This window comes from Homo sapiens, chromosome 22 (genome assembly GCF_000001405.40).
Source record: "Homo sapiens chromosome 22, GRCh38.p14 Primary Assembly".
Taxonomy (NCBI): Eukaryota; Metazoa; Chordata; class Mammalia; order Primates; family Hominidae; genus Homo; species Homo sapiens.
In genome coordinates this window covers 50,348,330-50,372,394 of record NC_000022.11, presented here as the reverse complement: position 1 = coordinate 50,372,394, position 24,065 = coordinate 50,348,330, and the positions used below count along the sequence as shown (strand labels likewise).

The window sequence follows — 24,065 nt, the reverse complement described above, 5'->3', positions numbered from 1 at the left end:
GTATTTTCAGTAGAGACGGGTTTCATCATGTTGGTCAGGCTGGTCTCGAACTCCTGATCTCATGATCCACCCACCTCGGCCTCCCAAAGTGCTGAGATTACAGGTGTGAGCCACAGTGCCCAGCCAGCATATCTTCTAAACTACGTTTTTCGCTGTGACCCATCTTTGAACTTCCACCTGTACAGAACTTTTACATAAATTACACAATAAAACAGAATCAAATTGAAAAAGAAACTTATCTTACCTTCTGTGGAAATCTCTTGTTTAAATCATGTATTCAGGCAAAACAGAAAAACATTTGTGGTTTTTTTCTTGGAGTATATGCAGCTTTAAGAAAATTTTTTTCATTCAGTGGAAGATTTATAATCTCTTTACCTGAAAAATAAGAGGAAAAATCTTGCTTTAAGTTCTTCCTCGGTAAAGTTAACTTATCAAAATGGCAGACAACAGGAAAAGGAGGCAGGGTGCGGTGGCTCACACCTTTAATCCCCACAGAATGGGAGGCCAAGGCGGCAGATCACTTGAGTCCAAGAGTTTAAGACTAGCTTGGGTGACATGGAAAAACCTCATTTCTACCAAAAAATACAAAAATTAGCCGGGTGTGGTGGCGCATGCCTGTAGTCCCAGCTACTCGGGAGGCTGAGGCGGGATCACTGGAGCCTGGGAGGCAGAGGTTGCAGTGAGCTGAGATCATGCCACTGCACTCCAGCCTGGGTGACCAGAGACTGACCCCATCTCAAAAAAAAGCAATTACAAAATTTTAAAAATAAAGCAATGGAACAGCATTTATTATCTGTCCCTTAAATATAAAATTTGTCTTTGATTTCATAATTCAACTAGCAAACATGACAGTTAAAATGATATTTTAAGATAGTTTTCTTTTTTTTTTCTTTTTTAAAGAGATGGGGTCTCACTATGCTGCCCAGGGTGGAGAGCAGTAGCTATTCACAGCTCCAGTCCCACTACTAACCAGCATGGGAGTTTCTGATGTGCTCCATTTCCAACCTCAGCTGGTTCACACCTCCTTAGGCAACCTGGCAGTCTTCCTTTTCTGGGAGGTCACCATACTGATGCCGAACTTAGTGCAGACACCCAGTTCACACAGCACATTACAGCCCTCAAGTGATCCTCCTGCCACAGCCTGCTGAGTAGCAGGAATTACAAGCACAAACCACTGTGCCTGGCTATATTACAACTTTAAAATTCCATTTTATAATTATCCTAGTCCCAGGTGAAATAATGTATTTAATAATTTGTAGGATGGGTGGAGTATTATGTTTAATTGGCGTTGTCAGGTATGAAGTCCTTCAGAAAATAAAATTTGTTTTAAAAAAGGTCTGACGTTTAGCTCTTGAACCCACTGTCACTTAAATTTCCAATAATGATTAAAAATATTTTTAAATTAGGATTCCCAATACCCTGACCTCTACAAAGGGTTTCTTAGAAATAGGTCCTACATTTGTGGCTGGGGGCAGTGGCTCACGCCTATAATCCCAACACTTTGGGAGGCCGAGGCGGGTGGATCATGAGGTCAGGAGTTCAAGATTAGCCTGGCCAACATGGTGAAACCCCGTCTCTACTAAAAATACAAAAACTAGCGAGGCACAATGGCAGGCGCCTGTAATCCCAGCTACTCGGGAGGCTGAGGCAGGAGAATCACTTGAACCCGGGAGGCAGAGGTTGCAGTGAGCCGAGATCACGCCACTGCACTCCAGCCTGGGCAACAGAGTGAGACTCCGTCTCAAAAAAATGAAAAGAAAAAAAGAAATAGGTCCTACTTTTAAACTTTTTTCTTTAAAACATAGCGTGGCCAGGCGTGGTGGCTCACGCCTGTAATCCCAGCACTTTGGGAGGCCAAGGCGGGTGGATCACGAGGTCAGGCATTCGAGACCAGTCTGGCCAACATAGTGAAACCCCATCTCTACTAAAAACACAAAAAATTAGCTGGGCGTGGTGGCAGGCGCCTGTAATCCCATCTCCTCGGGAGGCTGAGGCAGGAGAATTGCTTGAACCTGGGAGGCAGAGGTTGCAGTGAGCCGAGATCGCGCCATTGCACTCCAGCCCTGGTGACAGTGCAAGACTCCATCTCAAAAACAAACAAACAAGACGTGGCACATAGTTCTGTGCACTGTTAGTATTTGGAAAGCATCTTGAAAGATCAATGGAAAGCTAAAACATTCTAAATTTAACATGAATACACTTACTTTTGATTCAGAAAATAAAATCAGATCTTTCAAAATAAAAAAAAAGTGTCGATCACTGTCGAAGTTAGGTGATGGGTACATAGATGTTAATTATGTTTTCTCTACTTTTGCATATTTTTACATTTTATATACAAATCAAAAAGGTGGGATGTGGTGGCTCACATCTGTAATCCCAGCACTTTGGGAAGCCAAGGCAGGAGGATCACTTAAGTGCTGGAGTTTAAGACCAGCCTGAGCAACACAGCGAGACCTTGCCTCTACTTAAAAAAAAAAAAAAAAAAAAAATTACTTAGCTGGGTGTGGTGGCACACACCTGTGGTCCCAGATACTTGGGAGGCTGAGTGGGAGGACTGCTTGAGCACAGGAGTTCGAGGCTGCAGTGAAAGGTCAGGCGCGGTGGCTCACACCTGTAATCCCAGCACTTTGGGAGGCCGAGGTGGGTGATCACTTGAGGTCAGGAGTTCAAGACCAGCCTGGCCAACATGGTGAAACCCTGCCTCTACTAAAAACACAAAAAATTAGCCGGGCGTACGCCTCTAATCCCAGATACTCAGGAGGCTGAGGCAAGAGAATTGCTTGAACCCTGGAGGCAGAGGTTGCAGTGAGCCACTCCAGCCTGGGCAACAGAGTGAGACTCTGTCTCAAAAAATAAAATAAAATAAAAGGCTGCAGTGAGCCACAATCACACTACTGTACTGCAGCTTGGGTAACAGAGTGAGACCCCATCTCTAAAAAAATAAAAAATAAAAATCAAACAAAAAAGATACTCAAAGTGGTGCCAGTAGCCCAGGGATAAGTCAGTGTTACCACCTTCTAAAACAGGTAATACTTTTTATACCTAACACTTCATGATTAAAATTAAGCTAAATAACTCAAAATAGGCTTTCAGCCCACTTTTCTAAAACTTTATACAGTTTTCAAAATAAAGAAATGTGTTTTCTTTTTTTTTTTTTAGATGGAATTTCACTCTTGTTGCCCAGGCTGGAGTGCAATGGCGTGATCTCGGCTCACCACAACCTCCGCCTCCTAGGTTCAAGCGATTCTCCTGCCTCAGCCTCCCAAGTAGCTGGGATTGCAGGCACGCACCACCACACCCAGCTAATTTTGTATTTTTAGTAGAGACAGGGTTTCTCCATGTTGGTCAGGCTGGTCGTGAACTCCCAACCTCAGCTGATCCGCCCACCTCGGCCTCCCAAAGTGCTGGGATTACAGGCGTGAGCCACTGCACCCGGCCAAGAAATGTTTTTGATCTTGGGCCTGTTTATTCTAATCTTGAGTCAATGATTTTGTAGCATGCATCTTCTTAACAAATTCTACTCAGTGTGAGCTGGAGGAAGAATGTGTGTGTCCCTAAACAGCACCAGCATTAGCCAGGTGTGGTGGTGCACGCCTGCAGTCCCAGCTACTCAGGATTGAAGTGGGAGGATCCCTTCGGCCTAAGTGTGCATGGTTGTGGTGAGCTATGATCACACCACTGCACTCCAGCCTGGGTGACAAAGTGAGACCTTGTATTGTGGGCGGCAAGCTACCCAGGTGCCAAGGCAAGAGACTGAGGGCACGAGCTGTTCCAGTATAATAAATAAAATATATAAAGTAAGAATAGTTATACTAGAAATAGATTATAGATATATGTGAATATTATTAATCATTAGTTTGTAGCATTACTCTTTATTCCAATATTATAATAATCTTTGTTCTACAATTATAACCTAGGAAAAACCAGGCCATACAGAGATAGGAGCTGAAGGGACATGGTGAGAAGTGACCAGAAGACAAGAGTGTGAGCCTTCTGTCACGCCCAGACAGGGCCACTAAAGGACTCCTTGGTCTAGTGGTAGCGCCAGTGCCTGAGAAGGCACCCGTTACTTAGCAGACTGGGAAAGGGAGTCTGTCTCCCTTTCCTGGGCGAGCGACAGAAGACTCTGCTCCACCACCTCCTGTGGAAGGCCTGACATCAGTCAGGCCCGCCCGCAGCCATCTGGAGGCGTAAACGTCTCTGTGATGCTGTGCTTCAGCGGTCACGCTCCTGGTCCATTTTCATGTTTCGCCCTGTACACCTGGCTCCGCCTTCTAGATAGCAGTAGCAGAATTAGTGAAAGTACTAACGTCTTTGAAATGCATAGAAGAAATAATGACGTAAGCTCTTCTCTCTCTGTCCGCCTCGGCTACCAAACAGGGAAGGGCCGGCCCCCTGTCCAGTGGACACGTGACTCGCATGACCTTATCTATCATTGGAGGCCACTCACACTCCTTACCCTGCCCCCTTGCCTGTATCCAATAAATAACAGCGCAGCCAGGCATTCGGGGCCACTACGGGTCTCCGTGTCTTGGTAGTAGTGGTCCCCCAGGCCCAACTGTCTTTTCTTCTATCTCTTTGCTTTATGTCTTTATTTCTACGATCTCTCGTCTCCGCACACAAAGAGAAAAACCCACAGGCCCTGTAGGGCTGGACCCTACACTGTCTCAAAAAACAACACAAAACAAAAAATAAAGCAATTATATTTATTGTAATTTATCCAGCATCTAATTGGACTGTAATGGGACAGTCTGGTAACAGCATCTAATAATACTGGAAGCAAAGGTCCTTCCCTCCCTTTTTCATTTTCTACTTAACTATGTGCCTTGAATGGCAACTGTGACAGCATAGGAGAGACGGGCAGCTCCAGGCCCACTCCTTAACAGGTACATCCTAAGCATCCACCCCTCATCCTCTGCCCACTGCTCCCCCGGCAACATCACAGCCTCCTACACTCTCCCACTGCAGGATATAAGCCTTCTTTTGCCTGTGCCCTCCACCTAAGATTCTGTCTCAGGAGGGCAGACTTCAATCGCTTTCTTATCATTCCCTCAGCATCTCATTCTGTAGCCCTTGATTTTTCTAGGGAAACTTCTTCCAAGCCCTACTCCCATCATCTTCGCTACATACTCCAAGTGCTTTGATGCCTACCCGGGAGAAAGCCACCTCTGCCCTCCTATCCAGGCGTCCCCCGCTCCCCTGTCCAGGCATCCTCTGCTCCCCTGTCCAGGCATCCTCCGCTCCCACATCTCAACCAGAAAGTGGGTCAGCATTCTTCTAGGTGCCCGTGAGTATTTCTACACTAACTTAAGCTTTCATTAAAAAGCCTCCATTTTTTATGCTTTTGTTTCTGGCCAAGACGGAACAGACCAGATTTACTTCCCATCTGCAACAACTAAAAAAAAAAAAGAAAACATAGGGAAGCAATGGTTTTCAAGACACTAGACACTGGACGCCAGGCAGTGAAGGGTCCCTGAAAAAAGGAAACAAAAGACAGGAGGGAGCCCTGTAGTTGTCCAGCTTCTGCTGGAAAAGCCAGGCCACAGCCCAAGGAAGAAGAAGCAGTGGAGGCTGGCTGGCAGTCTCTGACTTGAAAAATCAAAACTAGGAGTTCAGGCAGTCCAAGGTAGCTCGAGTTCACAGGCAGAACACCAGAGGGCAGAGCTCACAGCAAATGCTGAAGATCCACACAGGACACCTCCCACTCCAGTCTCCAGCCAAGCACTGATCAGTGCATGTGTGTAAGGAAGGTATTCAAGCCAGGGAAAGCATCACTCAAAAAGATGAGAGGGGCCGGGTGCGGTGGCTCACACCTGTAATCCCAGCACTTTGGGAGGCCGAGGCCGGTGGATCACCTGAGGTCAGGAGTTCGAGACCAGCCTGGCCAACACGGTGAAACTCCATCTCTACTAAAAATACAAAAATTAGCTGGGCATGGTGGCGGGCACCTGTAATCCCAGCTACTGGGGAGGCTGAGGAAGGAGAACTGCTTGAACCCGGAGGCTGCAGTGAGCTGGGATTGCACCACTGCACTCCAGCCTAGGTGACAGAGCGAGACTCCATTTAAAAAAAAAAAAAAAAAAGATGAGAGGGAACAATCCTCAAAGCTCACGCAGAGCCTATTCCTGCCAGTTGCAGTGGAAAACCTTGTAATTCACAAGGCTTTGGACGTAATGCTCAGAAGACGTTTGCCTCAGTGGCAGAGCAAAACTAGCCCTAGACTAAAAATTACTAGGGTTCCACCTAACAAAGCTGAAATGCAAGACCTATCAGAATCAAACTGTTTCCAAGTAATTGAACCTCATCCCAGAACAAAGGTCAAGAATATTTATAGGAACACAAAAATGCTCAGTATCCAACAAGATAAAATTCACAAAGTCTGGGCATCTGATCAAAAAGTTCTAGGCATGCAAGGGAGCAGGAAAAGAAAAATCATAAACCATAATGAGGGGAAAAACAACACAAAACCAACCCAGAAATGACACAGATGAGTTAACAGATAATGCTGGTACAGGGGCTCATGTCTATAATCCCAGCTACTCAGGAGCAAGGTGGGAGAATCACTTGAGGCCTGGAGTTTGAGGTTGCAGTGAGCCAGGATTGCACCACTGCAATCCAGCCTGAGTGACAGAGCAAACAGAACACTGTCTCTAAAAAAATAATAATAAATAAAGAATTGATAAGGACATTTAAATGGTTCTTTTTTTTTTTTTTTTGAGACAGAGTCTTGCTCTGTCGCACAGGCTGGAATGCAGTGGTGTGATCTCAGCTCACTGCAAGCTCCGCCTCCCGGGTTCATGCCATTCTCCTGCCTCAGCCTCCCGAGTAGCTGGGACTACAGGCGCCCGCCACCACGCCGGGCTAATTTTTTGTATTTTTTAGTAGAGACGAGGTTTCACCGTGTTAGCCAGGATGGTCTCGATCTCCTGACCTCATGATCCACCCACCTCGGCCTCCGAAAGTGCTGGGATTACAGGCGTGAGCCACTATGCCCAGCCTAAATAGTTCTTATAAGTGTATCTCATGCCAGGCACGGCGGCTCATACCTGTAATCCCAGCACTTTGGGAGGCCGAGGCAGATGCATCGCCTGAGGTCGGGAGTTCAAGACCAGCCTGGCCAACATGAAGAAACCCCGTCTCTACTAAAAATATAAAATTAGCCAGGTGTGGTGGTGCATGCCTGTAATCCCAGCTACTTGGGACGCTGAGGCAGGAGAATTGCTTGAACCCGGGAGGTGGAGGTTGCGGTGAGCCGAGATTGCGCCATTACAATCCAGCCTGGGCAACAAGAGCAAAACTCCGTCTCAAAAAAAAAAAAAAAAAAAGTATCTCATATGTTCAAGAACCTAAAGGAAAGATTAAGTAAAGACATGGAAGATATACAAAGACCCAAAGAGAATCATAAAAGATTTTTTTTCTTTTTATGCCCACCTTCTAATACCATCACACATAAAAACATTCTTAATCCAAAATAAGGTAGAAAAAGACAAACAGGGAATAAAGAATACACCGTACTTCTGCTGTAAGCCTCTACACGATGACACATTAAGTGGGACCCGCACACAATACAACTTTGGCACTCTTTCCTCATCCCCACCTGATTCCATAACCGTACCAAAACTATCTAAATATGCTGAGTGTCTCCCCCAGCTAACACCTTTGCACACACAGACCCTCTGACTGGAATGCCTTCTTCCCACTTTCTCTATTTGACAAACTCTTGCCTGATCTTCCTATCTGAAGACCATCTATAGCTACCTTTGTCAACTTTCTGAGTCCCTCCTCAGTGCTCTCACAAGACTGTTTATATCTTTCAGAGAATTATAACTCAGTTTTAAATATTTTTATTTTTAATTATGAAATTTTTTAAATATATTGAAGTCTAGAGAAGGACATAATATCCATGTGATGAGACTTAACAAACACTAACATTTGTTTGTATGTGCCTCCTTCTTAAACAAATGTTTCTACGACACTGAGGAACCCAGGAACTCAAGCAATCCCCTTCTTGAGAGACAATCACTAACTTGCAGTATCCGTAATTTCATTATTTTATGACTTATATACCTAAAAATGGTACATTGCTTTAAATACATATTTCAAGTATGACACTTCTCTCATATACCAAGTTCCCATTTATACAGGGTCCTTTTCCAGGCTATCCATTCCACTGGCCTCACAATAAGTCTGAAAACCTGGGCCAGGCACGGTGACTCAAGCCTGTAATCCCAGCACTTTGGGAGGCCGAGGTGGGCAGATCACCTGAGGTCAGGAGTTTGAGACCAGCCTGGTTAACATGGTGCAACCCCGTCTCTACTAAAAATACAAAAAAACTAGCCAGACGTGGTGGTGCATGCCTGTAATCCCAGCTACTCGGGAGGCTTAGGCAGGAGAATCGCCTGAACCCGGGAGGCAAAGGTTGCAGTGGGCCGAGATTGCGCCACTGTACTCCAGCCTGGGCGACAAGAGCAAAAACTCCGTCTCAAAAAAAAAAAAAAAAAGTTTGAAAATCTGTTACAGCAACTCCCTTCTTATTCTTTTTCACACTTGTCTTGGTTATTCTTCACCCTTTACTTTAAAATTTTCTAGTAAAATAAGTAAATGGAACCAAATTGATGAGGAAACAGCAGAGACTGGATCCTGAAACAAGTCCCCCTGGAGCACGCTGAATGGTCAGATGAGCCCAGCTCTAGTAGGACTCCAGGTCCGTCCGTAAGAGCAGAAGCAGGAGAGAGATTGAAAGGCTCATGAGCAGCAGCTGCGGACAGCGGAGCTGGCTTCTCCATTCTGCAGGTTGCCAGCTCCTGACTCTACCATATGCCCTCAAGAAGAAGAGCCAAGAAACACAGTGAAAAGGTGGAGAATCTTCCTCCGGAAAAAGCTTTGCATGAGCATTGGAAGCACTCAGGCCTAGGCTAACTCCAGACACCAGGAATATGAAAGGGAAAAAAAGGAAGCTTGCTCTACTCAGAGATGAACATACTAGAGCACTATAATTCTGAAGTAAAAGCCTTTCTTAACTGTGGCAATGGAGAAGTGCCCAGTCACCCGACTGCTGATTCTCCTGCCACATCCTAAAGCACAGATTGCAACTTAAAGGCCTGCAGAACAAGGCAAGATGCTAAGTGTAAGGAAGGAAGCTGGCGGAAAAGACAGCAGCAGAGTGAAGGCTGCAGCACAAGAGGGCATGGAAGGGAGCAGAGACAGGCCCACCCCAGCAATCACAGCCGTGCAAGGACACAGGGCACCAGCACATGTCTGCTTCTACAAGAAGTGACAAAAATCCACATTTTTTTTAAATCCCCACATCTTCATGTTTATAATTAACTTTTGAACACTATGTGGGCCAATAAAATGCAGGACAAGCTAAATACATCCTCAGGCCACCAGTGGCTAAGGAGCCAGTCTTCAATGACTGCTCTGCCAGAGAGCCAGCCACCTTCTTGCCCTCCACTGACCCGGTGTCTTCGTATGCTTAGGCGGCCAGAATACAACACCTTCAACAGCAGACAATTATTCCTCACAGTTCTGGGGCCTAGAAGTCCAAGGTCAAGGTGCTGGCCAATTAGGTTGCTGAGAAAGCCTGTCTTCCCTGCCCTTAGACCATTGCCTTCTCACTGTGTCCTCACAGCAGGGAGGGTGAGAGCAAGCTCTCTGGTGTATCTTTGTATGAGGGTGTCAGTCCCATCTTGAGAGCCCCACCTGGTGACCTCACGGAACCTAATTATCTCCTAAAGGCCTCCCTCCAAATACCACTAAATGGAACTTAGGATTTCAACATAGGAATCTGGGGTGGACACGACACAATTCAGTCCCTAGCACCCTGCCTGTCTTTGAGCCCTTCCACCAACTAAGGATGGCATGAGGCCTCCATGCAGAGCACGTGCTCTGCAACGGGAACACAGTAAGGACTCAGCGACGGGCTGAGAAGAGCTGACGTCGCTGCACATTCCAAGGTCTTCAAGCTCCCAAGGTAGCAATTCTCCTCCCAGCAGCGGAGGCCCAGCTGGTCTCCCACCAAAGTCTCAGAAAGGTGACTTTAACACACAGCCCCGAGAGATGGCTGTCAGGCCCACGCCAGGCTCAGAAGAGTATCCTCCTGGCTGTTACATAGGATGAAGGCTCAAGTGAAAACTGAAAACCTCCATCTGCTCAACACTAGCAACCATGGCAGCTCTCCCAGTTAAGGACAGAGATGGCCAGCATTATGAGGATGCACCTTCCTCATCACCAGTGCTAAGGGCCCTAGCCCCGACTCCTCCCCTTCCTGGAGCCCAATGCAGACCCTCCAGGCAGCCAGAGAACCTCTTGAGCCAGGGAGGCCTGGCCACATCAGGGCAGTCCCTGACCACAAAGGTCCAGGCATAAAGTCCAGTTTCCATCACTGAGCAGCTCTGGAACCTTGGGCAAGTGCCTGCTGCATGTGCACTGCAGGTAAAAGTGTTGACTCCAAGACAGAGAACAGTCATGACTGCCACCACTGCCCTAGGACAGTGACTAATACCAGATGCCTCCAAGGGGCCTAGAGAGAAAAACAATCAACTGCAGGAAACCAAAGGCCCACCACAGCAAGGCCCTAGTCCGCACCTACGCGCACCACAAGACAGACAGCGCACCTATGCTATATTTGTTGTCAATAATATAATCCTGGGAAAACAAGTACCAGAACAAAGAGTCAAAGGCAGACGAGCAGGGCATACTCTGGGTCCTGGGTCAAAGGAAGACAAGCAGGGCATACTCTGGGCTGAGACTGTTGAAGGAAAAATAGCTGAAGGCAAGCTAGATAAAAAGCATTGTCAAACAAGCAGAAAACAGCACCAAAAAGCAGCAGGGAGGAAACTGGGGCAGTGAACAAAGCTCAAGTCCAAACAAGACGCACAGAAGAAGTAAGAGCCAACAAACTGCCTTTAGGGTTCCAGCAGCCACAGGAGAGTGGCAGTAGCTGGCTTCATCCGTACACTCAAAGCTCAAAGCCTAATGCAGCAGGTAGTTTCCTACCAACCCCCAGTTCACAAGTAAAAAGCAGAGGTCTCAGTAATTACATGACTAGCGCAACGTCATGGGCTAGTAAGTATCCGTTCTAGAACTTGAACCCAGGTTTGGCTGAGAGCAAAGCCCATGTTCTCAGTCTCCATATGATAACCAGATTCTGACTGAGTCAATGAAGAAAAAAAGGAGTTATCAAAGGAAATCCAAAAGGAATGACCAAGATTGAGGGTGATGACAGGAAGGCACTACCCAGGACCGAACTAGTCCAGGAAGGGCATCACAGCAAAGAGCTGAGAAAGGGTCAGAGCAGAGTTCCACAGGCTTAGAGATGGTGGGATCATGAGGAGAGAGAAGTCAAGTCTTCAAAGTGGAGCAGTCAACAGGATGATGAGTGACAGTCAAATTCTTGAAGAGCTCCTAAAGGTCTGACTGTCCACAGTAGCCCAGAGAGAGGACACTGGGCATCAGTCAGTTCATTCAGCAACAAATGTAGCTAATAATGGGACAAACCTAGTCATGCCCCAAGGAACCTGACGTCTAGCAGAGAAAACAGATACTGACAGACTCTACACAGTGCCAAACCTGAGAGAGACTGGTGTGAGCAGCAACAGTGGGCAGAAGCACAGGTCAGCTCCCTGGCTCACACCCAATAGGTGTCCTATCTGTGAGCTCTGACAGTGTAGCTAACTGCCAGCTTCTCTGTGGCTCCTCGGTAAACAGGGATAAAAATACAGATCTCCTGGGCCAGGAATGGTGCCTCACACCTATAATCCCCATGCTTTGGGAGGTCCAGGCAGGAGGATTGCTTGAAGCCAGGAGTTCAAGACCAGCCTGAGCAACACAGAGAGACCCCATCTCTAAAAACCTTTTTTTAAATTAGCCAGGTGTGGTGGCATGTACTTGCAGTCCTAGCAACTCAGGAAACTGAGGCAGGAGGGTCTCTTATGCCTGAGAGTTCAAGACTGCAGTGAGTCATGATCATGTGTTCATACCACTTGCACTTCCAAGTGGGCAGCAGAGGAGACCCTGTCTCTCTTAAAAAAAAAAAAAAAAAAGGCTGAGCATGGTGGCTCACGCCTATAATCCCAGCACTTTGGGAGGCCAAGGCAGGCAGATCATGAGGTCAAGAGATCAAGACCATCCTGGCCAACACGGTGAAGCCCCATCTCTACTAAAAATACAAAAATCAGCCAGGCGTGGTGGCACGCACCTGTAGTCCCAGCTACTTGGGAGGCTGAGGCAGGAGAATCGCTTGAACCCAGGAGATGGAGGTTGCAGTGAGCCGACATTGTGCCATTGCATTCCAGCCTCCATGACAGAGCAAGAGTCCATCTCAAAAAAAAAAAAAAGTGCTGAAAGGGAAAAAAAAAGCTGTTAACCTAGAATTCTGTATCAAGCAAAAATATCCTTTGAAAACAAAAATATAAATAAAGACATTTTAAGACAAACAAAAGCTGAGGGAATTTGTCCTTATCATACCCACATTACAAGAAATCCTGAAGGAAAATAATCCCGGATAGAAATCTGATCTGTAAAAGAAATGAAGAATTTCCCAACTCATTCTATGGGTCCCAGTATTACCTTGATACCAAAACCAAAGACATCAAAAGAAAAGAAAGTCACACACAAATATTTCTTAAGAAGGTAGATGTAAAAAGCCTCAACAAAACACTACCAAACCAAATCCAACCACATATAAAAAGGATTCTACACCATACCACAGGGGATTTAATCCCAAGAATGCAAGCTTGCTTTAACACCCGAAAATCAATTAATTTAACATATCACATGTGGATAAAGGACAAAACACAAGTGATCATCTCAACATACACAGAAAAAGCATCTGACAAAATATAAACCTTTTTCATCATAAAAAAAAACACTCCACAGGCCGGGCATGGTGGCTCATGCCTGTAATCCCAGCACTTTGGGAGGCCGAGGCGGGCAGATCACAAGGTCAGGAGATCGAGACCATCCTGGCTAACACGGCAAACCCCATCTCTACTAAAAATACAAAAAATTAGCCGGGTGCGGTGGTGGGCGCCTGTAGTCCCAGCTGCTCGGGAGGCTGAGGCAGGAGAATGGCATGAAGCCGGGAGGCAGAGCTTGCAGTGAGCGGAGATCACGCCACTGCACTCCAGCCTGGGCGACAGAGCAAGACTCAGTTTCAAAAAAAAAAAAAAAAAAAGACCAGCCTGGCCAACAGGATGAAACCGTGTCTCTACTAACAATACAAACATTAGCTGGGCGTGGTGGCTGGTGCCCATAATCCCAGCTACTCGGGAGGCTGAGGCAGGAAAATCACTCAAACCCAGGAGGTGGAGGTTGCAGTGAGTGGAGATCGCGCCACTGAACTCCAGCCTGGCAATAGGGTGAGACTCCGTCTCAAAAAAAGAGTTGGGGGGGGGGGGGGGGCGGTTCTTTTACACTACTTGGTTTCAGGATATACCATTAAGTTACAATAATCAAGACATCGCGGTGTTAACACAGGATAGAAAATAAACCAATGGAACAGAAAAAACAGAAATAAGCCTGCAGACATGTTTAATTAATTTATAACAAAGGTTCCAATGGAATTGAATGGAGAAGAGAGTCCTTTCAACAAATGATGGCAGAATAATTGCATATCCATATGGAGAAAAATGCATCCTGACCCCACCTCACATCACACACAAAAATTAAAGCAAGATGGATCATACAGAAAAGAGATCAGCAGTTGCTTAGAGAAGGAGGGAAAGGATAGAGTGGAAGGAAAGAATCCCAATGGCGCATGAGGAAATTCTGGGGACAATGAATATGTTTACTATCCTGACTATAGTGACAATTTCACAAATGTATACATATGTCAAAACTTATCAAATTTTATACTTTAAGCATGTATAGTTTATCATATTAATTTTATCTCAATAAAGCTGTTAAAAAGAAAAAGATGGATGACAGACCTAAATACAAAAGCTACCACTGTAAAGCTTCTACAAAAAACACAGGGCAGCATCTACACAACCTGGTGCAGGCAAAATTTTCTTAAGACACAAAATAATCATAACAGAAAAAATTGGTAAATTTTTACTATATCCAAATTAAAATGTTCTGTTCATCAAAAGATACCATTAACAAATAAGAAACAACAAAACAAAATAAACAAACAGGAGCTGGGTACACTGGTTCACACCTGTAATCTGAGCGACTCAGGAGGCTAAAGGTGGAGGATCACTTGAGGTCAGGAGTTAAAGAACACCCTGGGCTACGCAGAGAGACCCCCATCTCTACCAAGAATTTTTTTTTTTTTAAATTATCCAGGTGTGGTGGCTTGTGCCTATGGTCCTAGCTACTTGGGAGGCTGAGGTGGGAGGATTGCTTCCGAAGGTCAAAGCCGCAGTGAGCCACGATCACGCCACTGCACTCCAGCCTAGGCAACAAAGCGAGACCGTGTCTCAAGAAATTAAAATTTAAAAAATTTAAAAAATTAGCCAGGGGCCAGGTGCCAGGTGCGGTGGCTCACACCTGTAATCCCGGCACTTTGGAAGGCCAAGGAGGACGAATCACGAGGTCAGGAGTTAAAGACCACCCTGGCCAACATAGTGAAACCCTGTCTCTACTAAAAATACAAAAAAATTAGCTGGGCTTGGAGGCAGGTGTCTGTAACCCCAGCTACTCGGGAGGCCGAGGCAGGAGAATCACTTGAACCCAGGAGGTGGAGGTTGCAGTGGAGATCATGCCACTGCACTCCAACCTGGGTGACAGTGCAAGACTCCATCTCAAAAAAAGAAAAAAAAAAATTAGCCAGGGAGGCTGAGGTGGGAAGACTGCTTGATCCTAGGAGTTTGAAGCTGCAGTGAGCTATGATCACATTTACTGTACTCCAGCCTGGGTGACAGAGTGAGACCTCATCAAAAAAGAAAGAGAGAGAGAGAGACAGGGAGGAAAAGGGGAAAGGAAGGAAGGGAGGTAGGGAAAGAGAGAGAAAAAAGAAAAAGAAAAGAAAAGAAAGAAGAGGGATGGAGAGAGGGAGGGAAAGAGATGAAAGAGAAAGAGAAAATAAGCAACTAGTATAACAAAAAAAATTCACCCCCTTCCTCTTCCTCCCCTCACTATGTATGTATATGCATATACGCATGCACACACCACAAAGGACTTGTAACCAGAATTTATTTTTGTAAACTCCTAAAAGTGAATAAAAGAACAATCCAATAAACAGTGGGTAAAAGCATGAATAGATATTAATATTTCACAAAAAAATACACGAATGGCCCGTAAGGCACCTGAAAAGTTGCTCACCATCATAATTCATCAGACAAACTCAAATTAAAACCACAGTAAGATACCACTACCGCCTGAATGGCTAAAAGTAAAAAGGCTAAGTGCTGTCATAGGCAAGGAGAAAGGAATTCTCACCCATTACTAGTAGGAGTGTAAAATGTTTCCAGTTTGGAAAACTGGAAGTTTTGTTTTTGCTTTTTTGTTTTTTTTTTGAGACAGAGTCTCCCTCTGTCGCCCAAGCTGGAGGGCAGTGGCACGATCTTGCCTCACTGCAACCTCTGCCTCCCGGGTTCAAGCAATTCTCCTGCCTCAGCCTCCCAAGTAGCTGGGATTATGGCGCCGGCCACCATGGCCGGCTAATTTTTTTATTTTTTGTAGAGACGGGGTTTCACCATGTTGGTCAGGCTGGTCTCGAACTCCCGACCTTGTGATCCACCCGCCTCGGCCTCCTTTAAAGTGCTGGCATATTACAGGCGTGAGCCACCACAACCGGCCGAAAACTGGCAGTTTCTTAAAAAAGTGAAACATACATCTATGTTATAACCCAGCACTTCTACTCCTGTTTACTCAAAAGAAATAACATATGTCCACAGAAAAGACTTGTATTAATGTAAGAATTTTCACCAGCCTGGCCAACGTGGCAAAATCTTGTCTCTACTAAAAATACAAAAAAAAATTAGCTGGACATGGTGGTGTGTACCTGCAGTCCCAGCTACTTGGGAGGCTGAGGTGTGATGACTACCTCAGCCTGGGAAGGTTGAGACTTCTGTGACAACGATCATTCCACTGCATTCCAGCCGAGATGACAGAGTGACACCCTCTCAAAAAAAAAAAAAAAAAGGAAAAATAGACTGTACATTCTGTGTTAAAAAGAAGAGGGAAGGCCGGGCGTGGTGGCTCGCACCTGTAATCCCAGCATTTTGGGAGGCCGAGGCAGGCAGATCACGAGGTCAGGAGATCGAGACCATCCTGGCTAACACGGTGAAACCCCGTCTCTACTAAAAAAATAGAAAAAATTAGCCGGGCGTGGTGGCGGGCGCCTGTGGTCCCAGCTACTCTGGAGGCTGAGGCAGGAGAATGGCATGAACCTGGGAGGCGGAGCTTGCAGTGAGCCGAGATCGCGCCACTGCACTCCAGCCTGAGTGACAGAGCGAGACTCCGTCTCAAAAAAAAAAAAAGAGGGAAATACACTATAGGTATTAAAACATCACTATGTACCCCATAAATATATACAATTATGTGTTATGTGTACACTTTTTAAAAGAGAAAAATTTTTAAAAGCTTTTTTTTTGGTTTTTTTTTTTCCATTTTAAAGAATAAGGCTGTGCCAGGCGCAGTGGCTCACCCCTGTAATCCCAGCAATTTGGGAGGCCGAGGCGGGCGGATCATGAGGTAAGGAGATCGAGACCATCCTGGCTAACACAGTGAAACCCCGTCTCTACTAAAAATAGAAAAAAATTAGCTGGGTGTGGTGGCGGGCACCTGTAGTCCCAGGTACTCAGGAGGCTGAGGCAGGAGAATGGCGTGAATCCAGGAGGCGGAGCTTGCAGTGAGCCAAGATCGCACCACTGCACTCCAGCCTGGGCGACAGAGCGAGACTCTATCTCAAAAAAAAAAGGCCGGGCGCAGTGGCTCACGCTTGTAATCCCAGCACTTTGGAAGGCCAAGGCGGGCGGCCGATCACGAGGTTAGGAGATCGAGACCACAGTGAAACCCCTTCTCTACTAAAAATACAAAAAATTAGCCGGGCGTGGTGGCAGGTACCTGCAGTCCCAGCTACTCGGAGAGGCTGAGGCAGGAGAATGGCATGAACCTGGGAGGCGGAGCTTGCAGTGAGCCGAGATCACGCCGCTGCACTCCAGCCTAGGCTACAGAGCGAGACTCTGTCTCAAAAAAGAAAAAAAAAAAAAAAAAAAGAAGGCTGCTTGCTGTATGTGGATATAACAGGATTTCCAATATAGGAGGAGTATCCCTAAACCAAAAATCGTGAAATTGAAATCCTGGGCCAGGCAAAGTGGCTCACGCCTGTAGTCCCAGTACTTTGGGAGGCTGAGGTGGGAGGATCGCTTAAGTCCAGGAGTTCAGGATCAGCCTGGGCAATAGAGCAAGGCCCTGTCTCCACAAAAAATAAAAAATTAGCCAGGCATGGTGGCAGGCACCTGTAGTCTCAGCTACTCAGGAGCCTGGCAGGTCAAGGCTGTGGTGAGCTGTGACTGTGCCACTGCACTCAACCTAGGTGACACAGAATGAGACTGTCTCAAAAAAAAAAAAAAAAAAGGCTGATCCAGGTGCAGCAGCTTTTACAACTAATTGATCACAACCAGTTACAGATTTGTATGTACGTGTACGAGAGAGAGTCTCACTGTCATCCAGGCTGGAGTGCAGTAGCATGATCTCGGTTCACTGCAACCCCTGCCTCAGCCTCCTGAGTAGCTGCGATTACAGGCGCTTGCCACCATGCCCGGCTAATTTTTGTATTTTTAGTACAGACAGGGTTTAACCATGTTGGCCAGCCTGGTCTCAAACTCCGGACCTCAGGTGATCCACCCACCTCAGCCTCCCAAAGTGCTGGGATTACAGGTGTGAGGCGCCGTGCCCACCTACAAATGTTTGTGTTCCTTTTCCACTCCCAGTGCTTCACTTGACTAGCCAAAAAATAAAAATAAAAAAAGCACTCCAATCCAAAACTTGTTGAGCATCTACATGATGCTCAAAGGACATGCTCACTGGAGCATTTCAGATTCCTTATTGGGGAAGCTCAACTGGTAACTCTGAGAAAATTTGAAATCCAAAACATCTCTAGTCCCAGGCATTTTATTTTATTTATTATTTATTTATTTTGAGACAAAGTCTCGCTCCGTCGCCCAGGCTGGAGTGCAGTGGCATGATCTTGGCTCACTACAATCTCCACCTTCTGGGTTCAAGTGATTCTCCTGCCTCAGCCTCCTGAGTAGCTGGAATTACAGCCACGTGCCACCATGCCCGGCTAATTTTTGTATTTTTAGTAGAGACAGGGTTTCACCATGTTGGCCACGGTGGTCTCAAACTCCGGACCCCAGGTGATCCGCCCACCTCGGCCTCCAAAAGTGCTGAGATTACAGGCATGAGCCACCGCGCCCGGCCTCCCAGTCAGCTTTTCTAAATAAAATTGTATTGGAACATAAACAAGAACACACAAATGCCTGATACATAATCAGTTATCGTTACAATTCCAAAATGTATTCTTTTAATTTTCTTTGTTCTTCCTCTATTCTTCTAGGGAATCTATTAAAATTTTTTAAAAATATTTTTAAAAGTTAGCCTTTCCCTTAACAAAAAAAAAAAAAAAGGGAGAGGCTTTTGAGTCACACTACCTGGGGTACAAATCTTGCCTCTATCATCTACTTGCTGTTTATTTCCATTTCCTCATCTGTGAAATGGAAAACAACACAGGCGTACTTTGTCTAACGTGCTTCCCTTCATTGTGCTTCGCAGGTAATGTGCTTTCTACAAATTAAAGGCTGGTAGCAACCTTGCGTCAAGCACGTCGAGGGGTGCCATTTTTCCAACAGCATGTGCTTACTTCGTGTCTCTGTGTTGCATTCTGGTAATTCTCACAATATTTCAAACTCTTTCATTATTATTTTATCTGTTATGGTGACCTGTTATCGGTGATGTTTGATGTTACTATTTTAATTGTTTTGGGAAACTACAAACCGTGCCCATATAGGATAGCAAACTTAATAAACGCTGCGTAAGTTCTGACCGGCCATTTCCCTGAGTCTCTCCCCCTCTCCTCAGGGCTCCCTACTCCCTGAGACACAACAGTAATAACGTAATAACGTTAGGTCAATTAATCCTGTAGGAAAGGAAGAGTCACATGTCTCTCATTTCGATCAAAAGCTAGAAATGCTTAAGCTTAGTGAAGAAGGCATGTCAAAAGCCGACAGGCCAAAAGCTAGCCCTCCTGCACCAGTTTGCCAAGTTGTGAATGCCAAAGAAAGGTTCTTGAGGGAAATTAAAACTGCTACTCCAGTGAAGACATAAATAATAATAAAGCAAAGCAGCTTTATTGCTGACACGGAGAAGGCTGCTTTCTGTTTGGAGGCAGGTCTTACTCTGTTGCCCAGGCTGGAATGTAGTGGCACCATCACAGCTCACTGCAGCTCTGACGTCCCAGATTCAAGCCATCCTCCTACCTCAGCCTCCCCAGTAGCTGGGACTATAGGCATGCACCACCACATTCAGCTAAACTTTTATTTTGTAGCGATGAGGTTTCACTGTATTACTCAGGTTGGTCTCAAACTCCCGAGCTCAAGCGATCCTCCCCACTCAGCCTCCCAAAGTGCTGGGATTAGAGGTGTGCGCAACCGTGCCTAGCCTGCAGAAAGTTACGTTGTTGTTGTTTTGTGTGTTTTTTTTTTTTGTTTTTGTTTTTGTTTTGAGACAGAGTCTCGCTCTGTCACCAGGCTGGAGTGCAGTGGCGTGATCTTGGCTCACTGCAACTTCCACCTCCTTGGTTCAAGCAATTCTTGTGCTTCAGCCTCCCGAGTAGCTGGGACTACAGGCACGCACCACCATACCCAGCAAATTTTTGTATTTTTAGTAGAGATGGGGTTTCACCATGTTGGCCAGGATGGTCTCCTCCTGACCTCGTGATCCACCTGCCTCAGCCTCACAAAGTGCTGGGATTACAGGGGTCAGACACCGCACCCAATGCCTGCAGAAAGTTTTAATGGTTTGGAGAGAAGACGAAACCAGACTTAAATAGTCTACAGTAAGGCCCTCACTCTTTTCAGTTCTACAAAGGATGACAGAGATGACGAAGCTGCAGAAGAAAAACTGGAAGCTAGCGGAGGTTGTTTCATGAGGTTTAAGAAGCCACCTCCATAACATACTAAAGTGCAAGGTGAAACAGCAAATGCCGGCCGGGCGCGATGGCTCTTGCCTGTAATCCCAGCACTTTGGGAGGCCGAGGCGGAAGGATCACTTGAGGTCAGGAGTTCAAGACCAGCCTGGCCAACATGGTGAAACCCCGTCTCTACTAAAAAATACAAAAATTAGCTGGGTGTGGCCGGGTGCGGTGGCTCACGCCTGTAATCCCAGCACTTTGGGAGGCCGAGGCAGGCGGATCATGAGGTCAGGAGATGGAGACCATCCTGGCTAACACGATGAAACCCCGTCTCTACTAAAAAATACAAAAAAATTAGCTGGGCATGGTGGTGTGCACCTGTAGTCCCAGCTGCTGGGGAGGCTGAGGCAGGAGAATGGCATGAACCTGGGAGGCAGAGCTTGCAGTGAGCCGAGATCGCGCCACTGCACTCCAGACTGGGTGACAGAGCAAGACTCCGTTTCAAAAAAAAAAATTAGCTGGGTATGGCGGCGGCTACCTGTAATCCCAGCTACTCAAGAGGCTGAGGCAGGAGAATCACTTGAACACGGGAACCAGAGGTTGCGGTGAGCTGAGATGGCACCACTGCACTCCAGCCTGGGTGACAGAGGGAGACTCCATTTCAAAACAAAAAACAAAAAACAAAAACAAAACAGCAAATGCTGATATAGAAGTTGTCGCTAGATCTGGAAGATCCAGCTAGGACAATTGATGAAGGAGGCTATGGCAAACAACAGATTTTTCAATACAGATGAAACAGTCTTCTATTGGAAGAAGGTGCCATCTAGGATTTTCATAGCTAGACAGGGTAAGTCAACGCCTGGCTTCAAAGCTTGAGTGCACAGGCTGACTCGCTAATGCAGCTGGTGACTTTTAAATTGAATGCTCATTTATCATTCTGAAAATCCTAGGACCCTTAAGAATTATGCTAAATCAGGCCGAGCGCGGTGGCTCACTCCTGTAATCCCAGCACTTTGGGAGGCCAAGGCGGGCGGATCACTTGAGGTCAGGAGTTTGAGACCAGCCTGGCCAACATGGTGAAACACCATCTCTACTAAAAATACAAAATTAGCTGGGCGCAATGGCACATGCCTGTAATCCCAGCCACTAGGGAGGCTGAGGCAGGAGAATCACTTGAACCTGGGAGGCTTAGGTTGCGGTGAGCCAAGATTGCGCCATTGCACTCCAGCCTGGGCAACAAGAGTGAAACTCTGTCTCAAAAAAAAAAAAAAAAAAAAAAAAAAAAAAACACTGTTGAGACCTACTGCTCAGAAAAAAAAGATTCCTTTCAAAATATTACTGCTCATTGACCATGCATCTAGTCACCCAAGAGCTCTGATTAAGATGTACAAGGAGACTAATGTTGTCATGCCTGCTAACATACTCCATACTGCAGCCCATGGATCAAGGAGTAATTTTTTTTTTTTTTTTGAGACGGAGTCTTGCTCTGTCGCCCAGGCTGGAGTGCAGTGGGGCAATCTCGGCTCACTGCAAGTTGCGCCTCCTGGGTTCATGCCATTCTCTTGCCTCAGCCTCCCAAGTAGCTGAGACTACAGGCGCCCACCACCACACCCGGCTAATTTTTTGAATTTTTAGTAGAGACGGGGTTTCACCGTGTTAGCCAGGATGGTCTCGATCTCCTGACCTCGTGATCTGCCTGTCTCGGCCTCCCAAAGTGCTGGGATTACAGGCGTGAGCCACCGCGCCCAGCCTAATTTTCTTATTATTTCAGAAATACATTTCAGGCCGGTCGCAGTGGTTCATGCCTGTAATCCCAGCAACTTTGGGAGGCCAAGGCAGGCAGATCACCTGAAGTCAGGAGTTCGAGACCAGCCTGGCCAACATGGTGAAATCCCATCTTTATAGAAAATGCAAAAATTAGCCAGGCATGGTGGTGGGCGCCTGTAATCCCCGCTACTCAGGAGGCTGAGGCAGGAGAATCGCTTGAACTCGGGAGGCAGAGGTTGCAGTGAGCCAAGATTGCACCACTGCACTCCAGCCAGGGCAACAAGAGGGAAACTTCGTCTCAAAAAATAAGTAACAGAACTAGAAGTAGAGCCTGAAGATGTGACTGAATTGCTGCAATCTCAGGATAAAACAGATAAGGAGCTGCTTTTAATGAATGAGCAAATAAAATGGTTTCTTTTTTTTTCTTTTTGAGACAGAGTCTTGCTCTGTTGCCTAGGCTGGAGTGCAGTGGCACAATCTTGGCTCAGTGCAACCTCCACCACCTGGGTTCAAGGCATTCTCCTGCCTCAGGCTCCCGAATAGCTGGGATTACAAGCATGCACCACCACGCCTGGCTAATTTTTGTATTTTTAGTAGAGACGGAGTTTCACCATGTTGTTCAGGCTGGTCTCGAACTCCTGACCTCAGGTGATCCACCCGCCTCGGCCTCCCAAACTGATTACAGGCGTGGGCCACCACACCCAGCTGCTTTTTTCTGTTTTTTTTTTTTTTAAGATGGAGTTTCACTCTTGTTGCCCAGAATGGAATGCAATGTTGTGATCTTGGCTCACTGCAACCTCCGCTTCCCGGGTTCAAGCAATTCTCCTGCCTCAGCTGGGATTACAGGCGCATGCCACCACGCCTGGCTAATTTTTTGTATTTTTAGTAAAGACGGGGTTTCACCATGTTGGCCAGGCTGGTCTCGAATTCCTGACCTCAGGTGATCCACCTGCCTCAGCCTCCCAAACTGCTGGGATTACAGGCATGAGCCACTATGCCTGGCCACATTCTGCTTTTGTGGGTGTGCTTTTATTTATTTTTGGCAGAGATGGGGCCTCACTATGTTGCTCAGGCTGGTCTAGAACTCCTGGCCTCAAGTGATCCTCCCGCCTCAGCCTCCCAAAGTGCTGGGATTATAGGCACGAGTCACCACGTCCAGCCCGTTTTTTTTTTTTTTTTTTTTTGAGACAGGGTCTCACGCTGTCGCCCAGGCTGGAGTGCAATGGAGTGATCACAGCTCACTGCAGCCTTGACCTCCCCAGGCTCAGGTGATCCTGCCACCTCAGTGTCCGAGCAGCTGGGACTATAGGCGCACACCACCATGCCCAACTTTTTTTTTTTTTTTTTTTTTTGAGAGGAAGTCTCACTCTTGTCGCCCAGGCTAGAGTGCAATGGCACAATCTCGGCACACTGCAACCTCCACCTCCCAGGTTCAAGCGATTCTCCTGCCCCAGCCTCCTGAGTAGCTGGGATTACAGGCGCCCACCACCATGCCTGGCTAGTTTTTTTTGTATTTTCAGTAGAGATGGAGTTTCACTATGTTGGCCAAGCTGGTCTCGAACTCCTGACCTCAGGTGATCCGCCCGCCTCAGCATCCCAAAGTGCTGGGATTACAGGCGTGAGCCACTGCGCCCGGCCCTGCTTTTTGTTTTTGTAGAGATAGGGTTTTGTCATGTCCCCAGGCTGCCCTGGCCTTAAGTGATGCTCCCACCTCAGCCTCCCAAAGTGCTGGGATTACAGGCGTGAACCACCGCACCCAGCCCATGTGCTTTTAAATAAATAGCCATCCCCAAGGCTTTATACCTTGCCCCCATGATGACAGTTGTATACCTGCGGCTTGGCCTCTCCTCTGGGTTCCAGACCCTCCTGTAAGATACCTTCTCCCTAGTGACCCTCGGACTTCTCAGACTTCCCCTACTTTCAGCCAAGAGAAAGCCTTGCTTTCTACTTCCAAACTGTAGTAACACCCCCAGCCCTGACACCACCCTAATTCAGCTTCCCTATTTCAATAAACAGTGCTACTATCCACCCATTTGTTCCATCAGAAAGCCTAGAAGGGTTGATGGGGCTGGGAGGATAAAAGCAGCCCAGAAATTACCCTGAGTCCATTCATTCTCTCACACCTCTCTTCTCATCTACCAACAAGTCCCAACAGCTCTACCTCCAAAATATCTCCCTAAACCCACCACCAAGTTCTAAACCATTACAATCACTACAC

The 24,065-nt window shown here is 46.6% G+C and overlaps 1 protein-coding gene and 1 pseudogene across 39 annotated transcripts in view, besides 1 other annotated feature; both read right to left on the bottom strand.

Annotated features, from left to right (window-relative positions):
- The window catches only part of PPP6R2 (protein phosphatase 6 regulatory subunit 2), a 114,317-nt gene that overhangs the window by 72,696 nt on the left and 17,556 nt on the right, over positions 1–24,065 (bottom strand). For all 39 annotated transcript variants that reach the window (XM_047441654.1, XM_047441645.1, XM_047441659.1 and 36 more), the window contains exon 2: positions 245–375. The gene's annotated coding sequence lies outside the window, so the exon portion shown is untranslated. The remainder of the gene's footprint in view (positions 1–244; positions 376–24,065) is intronic.
- Positions 899–1,185, bottom strand: RN7SL500P (RNA, 7SL, cytoplasmic 500, pseudogene; annotated as a pseudogene).
- Positions 10,892–10,941: an enhancer, noted in NCBI's record as "active region_19318". NCBI's record gives its function as "activates an Ori minimal core promoter by ATAC-STARR-seq in GM12878 lymphoblastoid cells {active_cell/tissue: GM12878}" and the evidence as "EXISTENCE:reporter gene assay evidence [ECO:0000049][PMID:35858748]".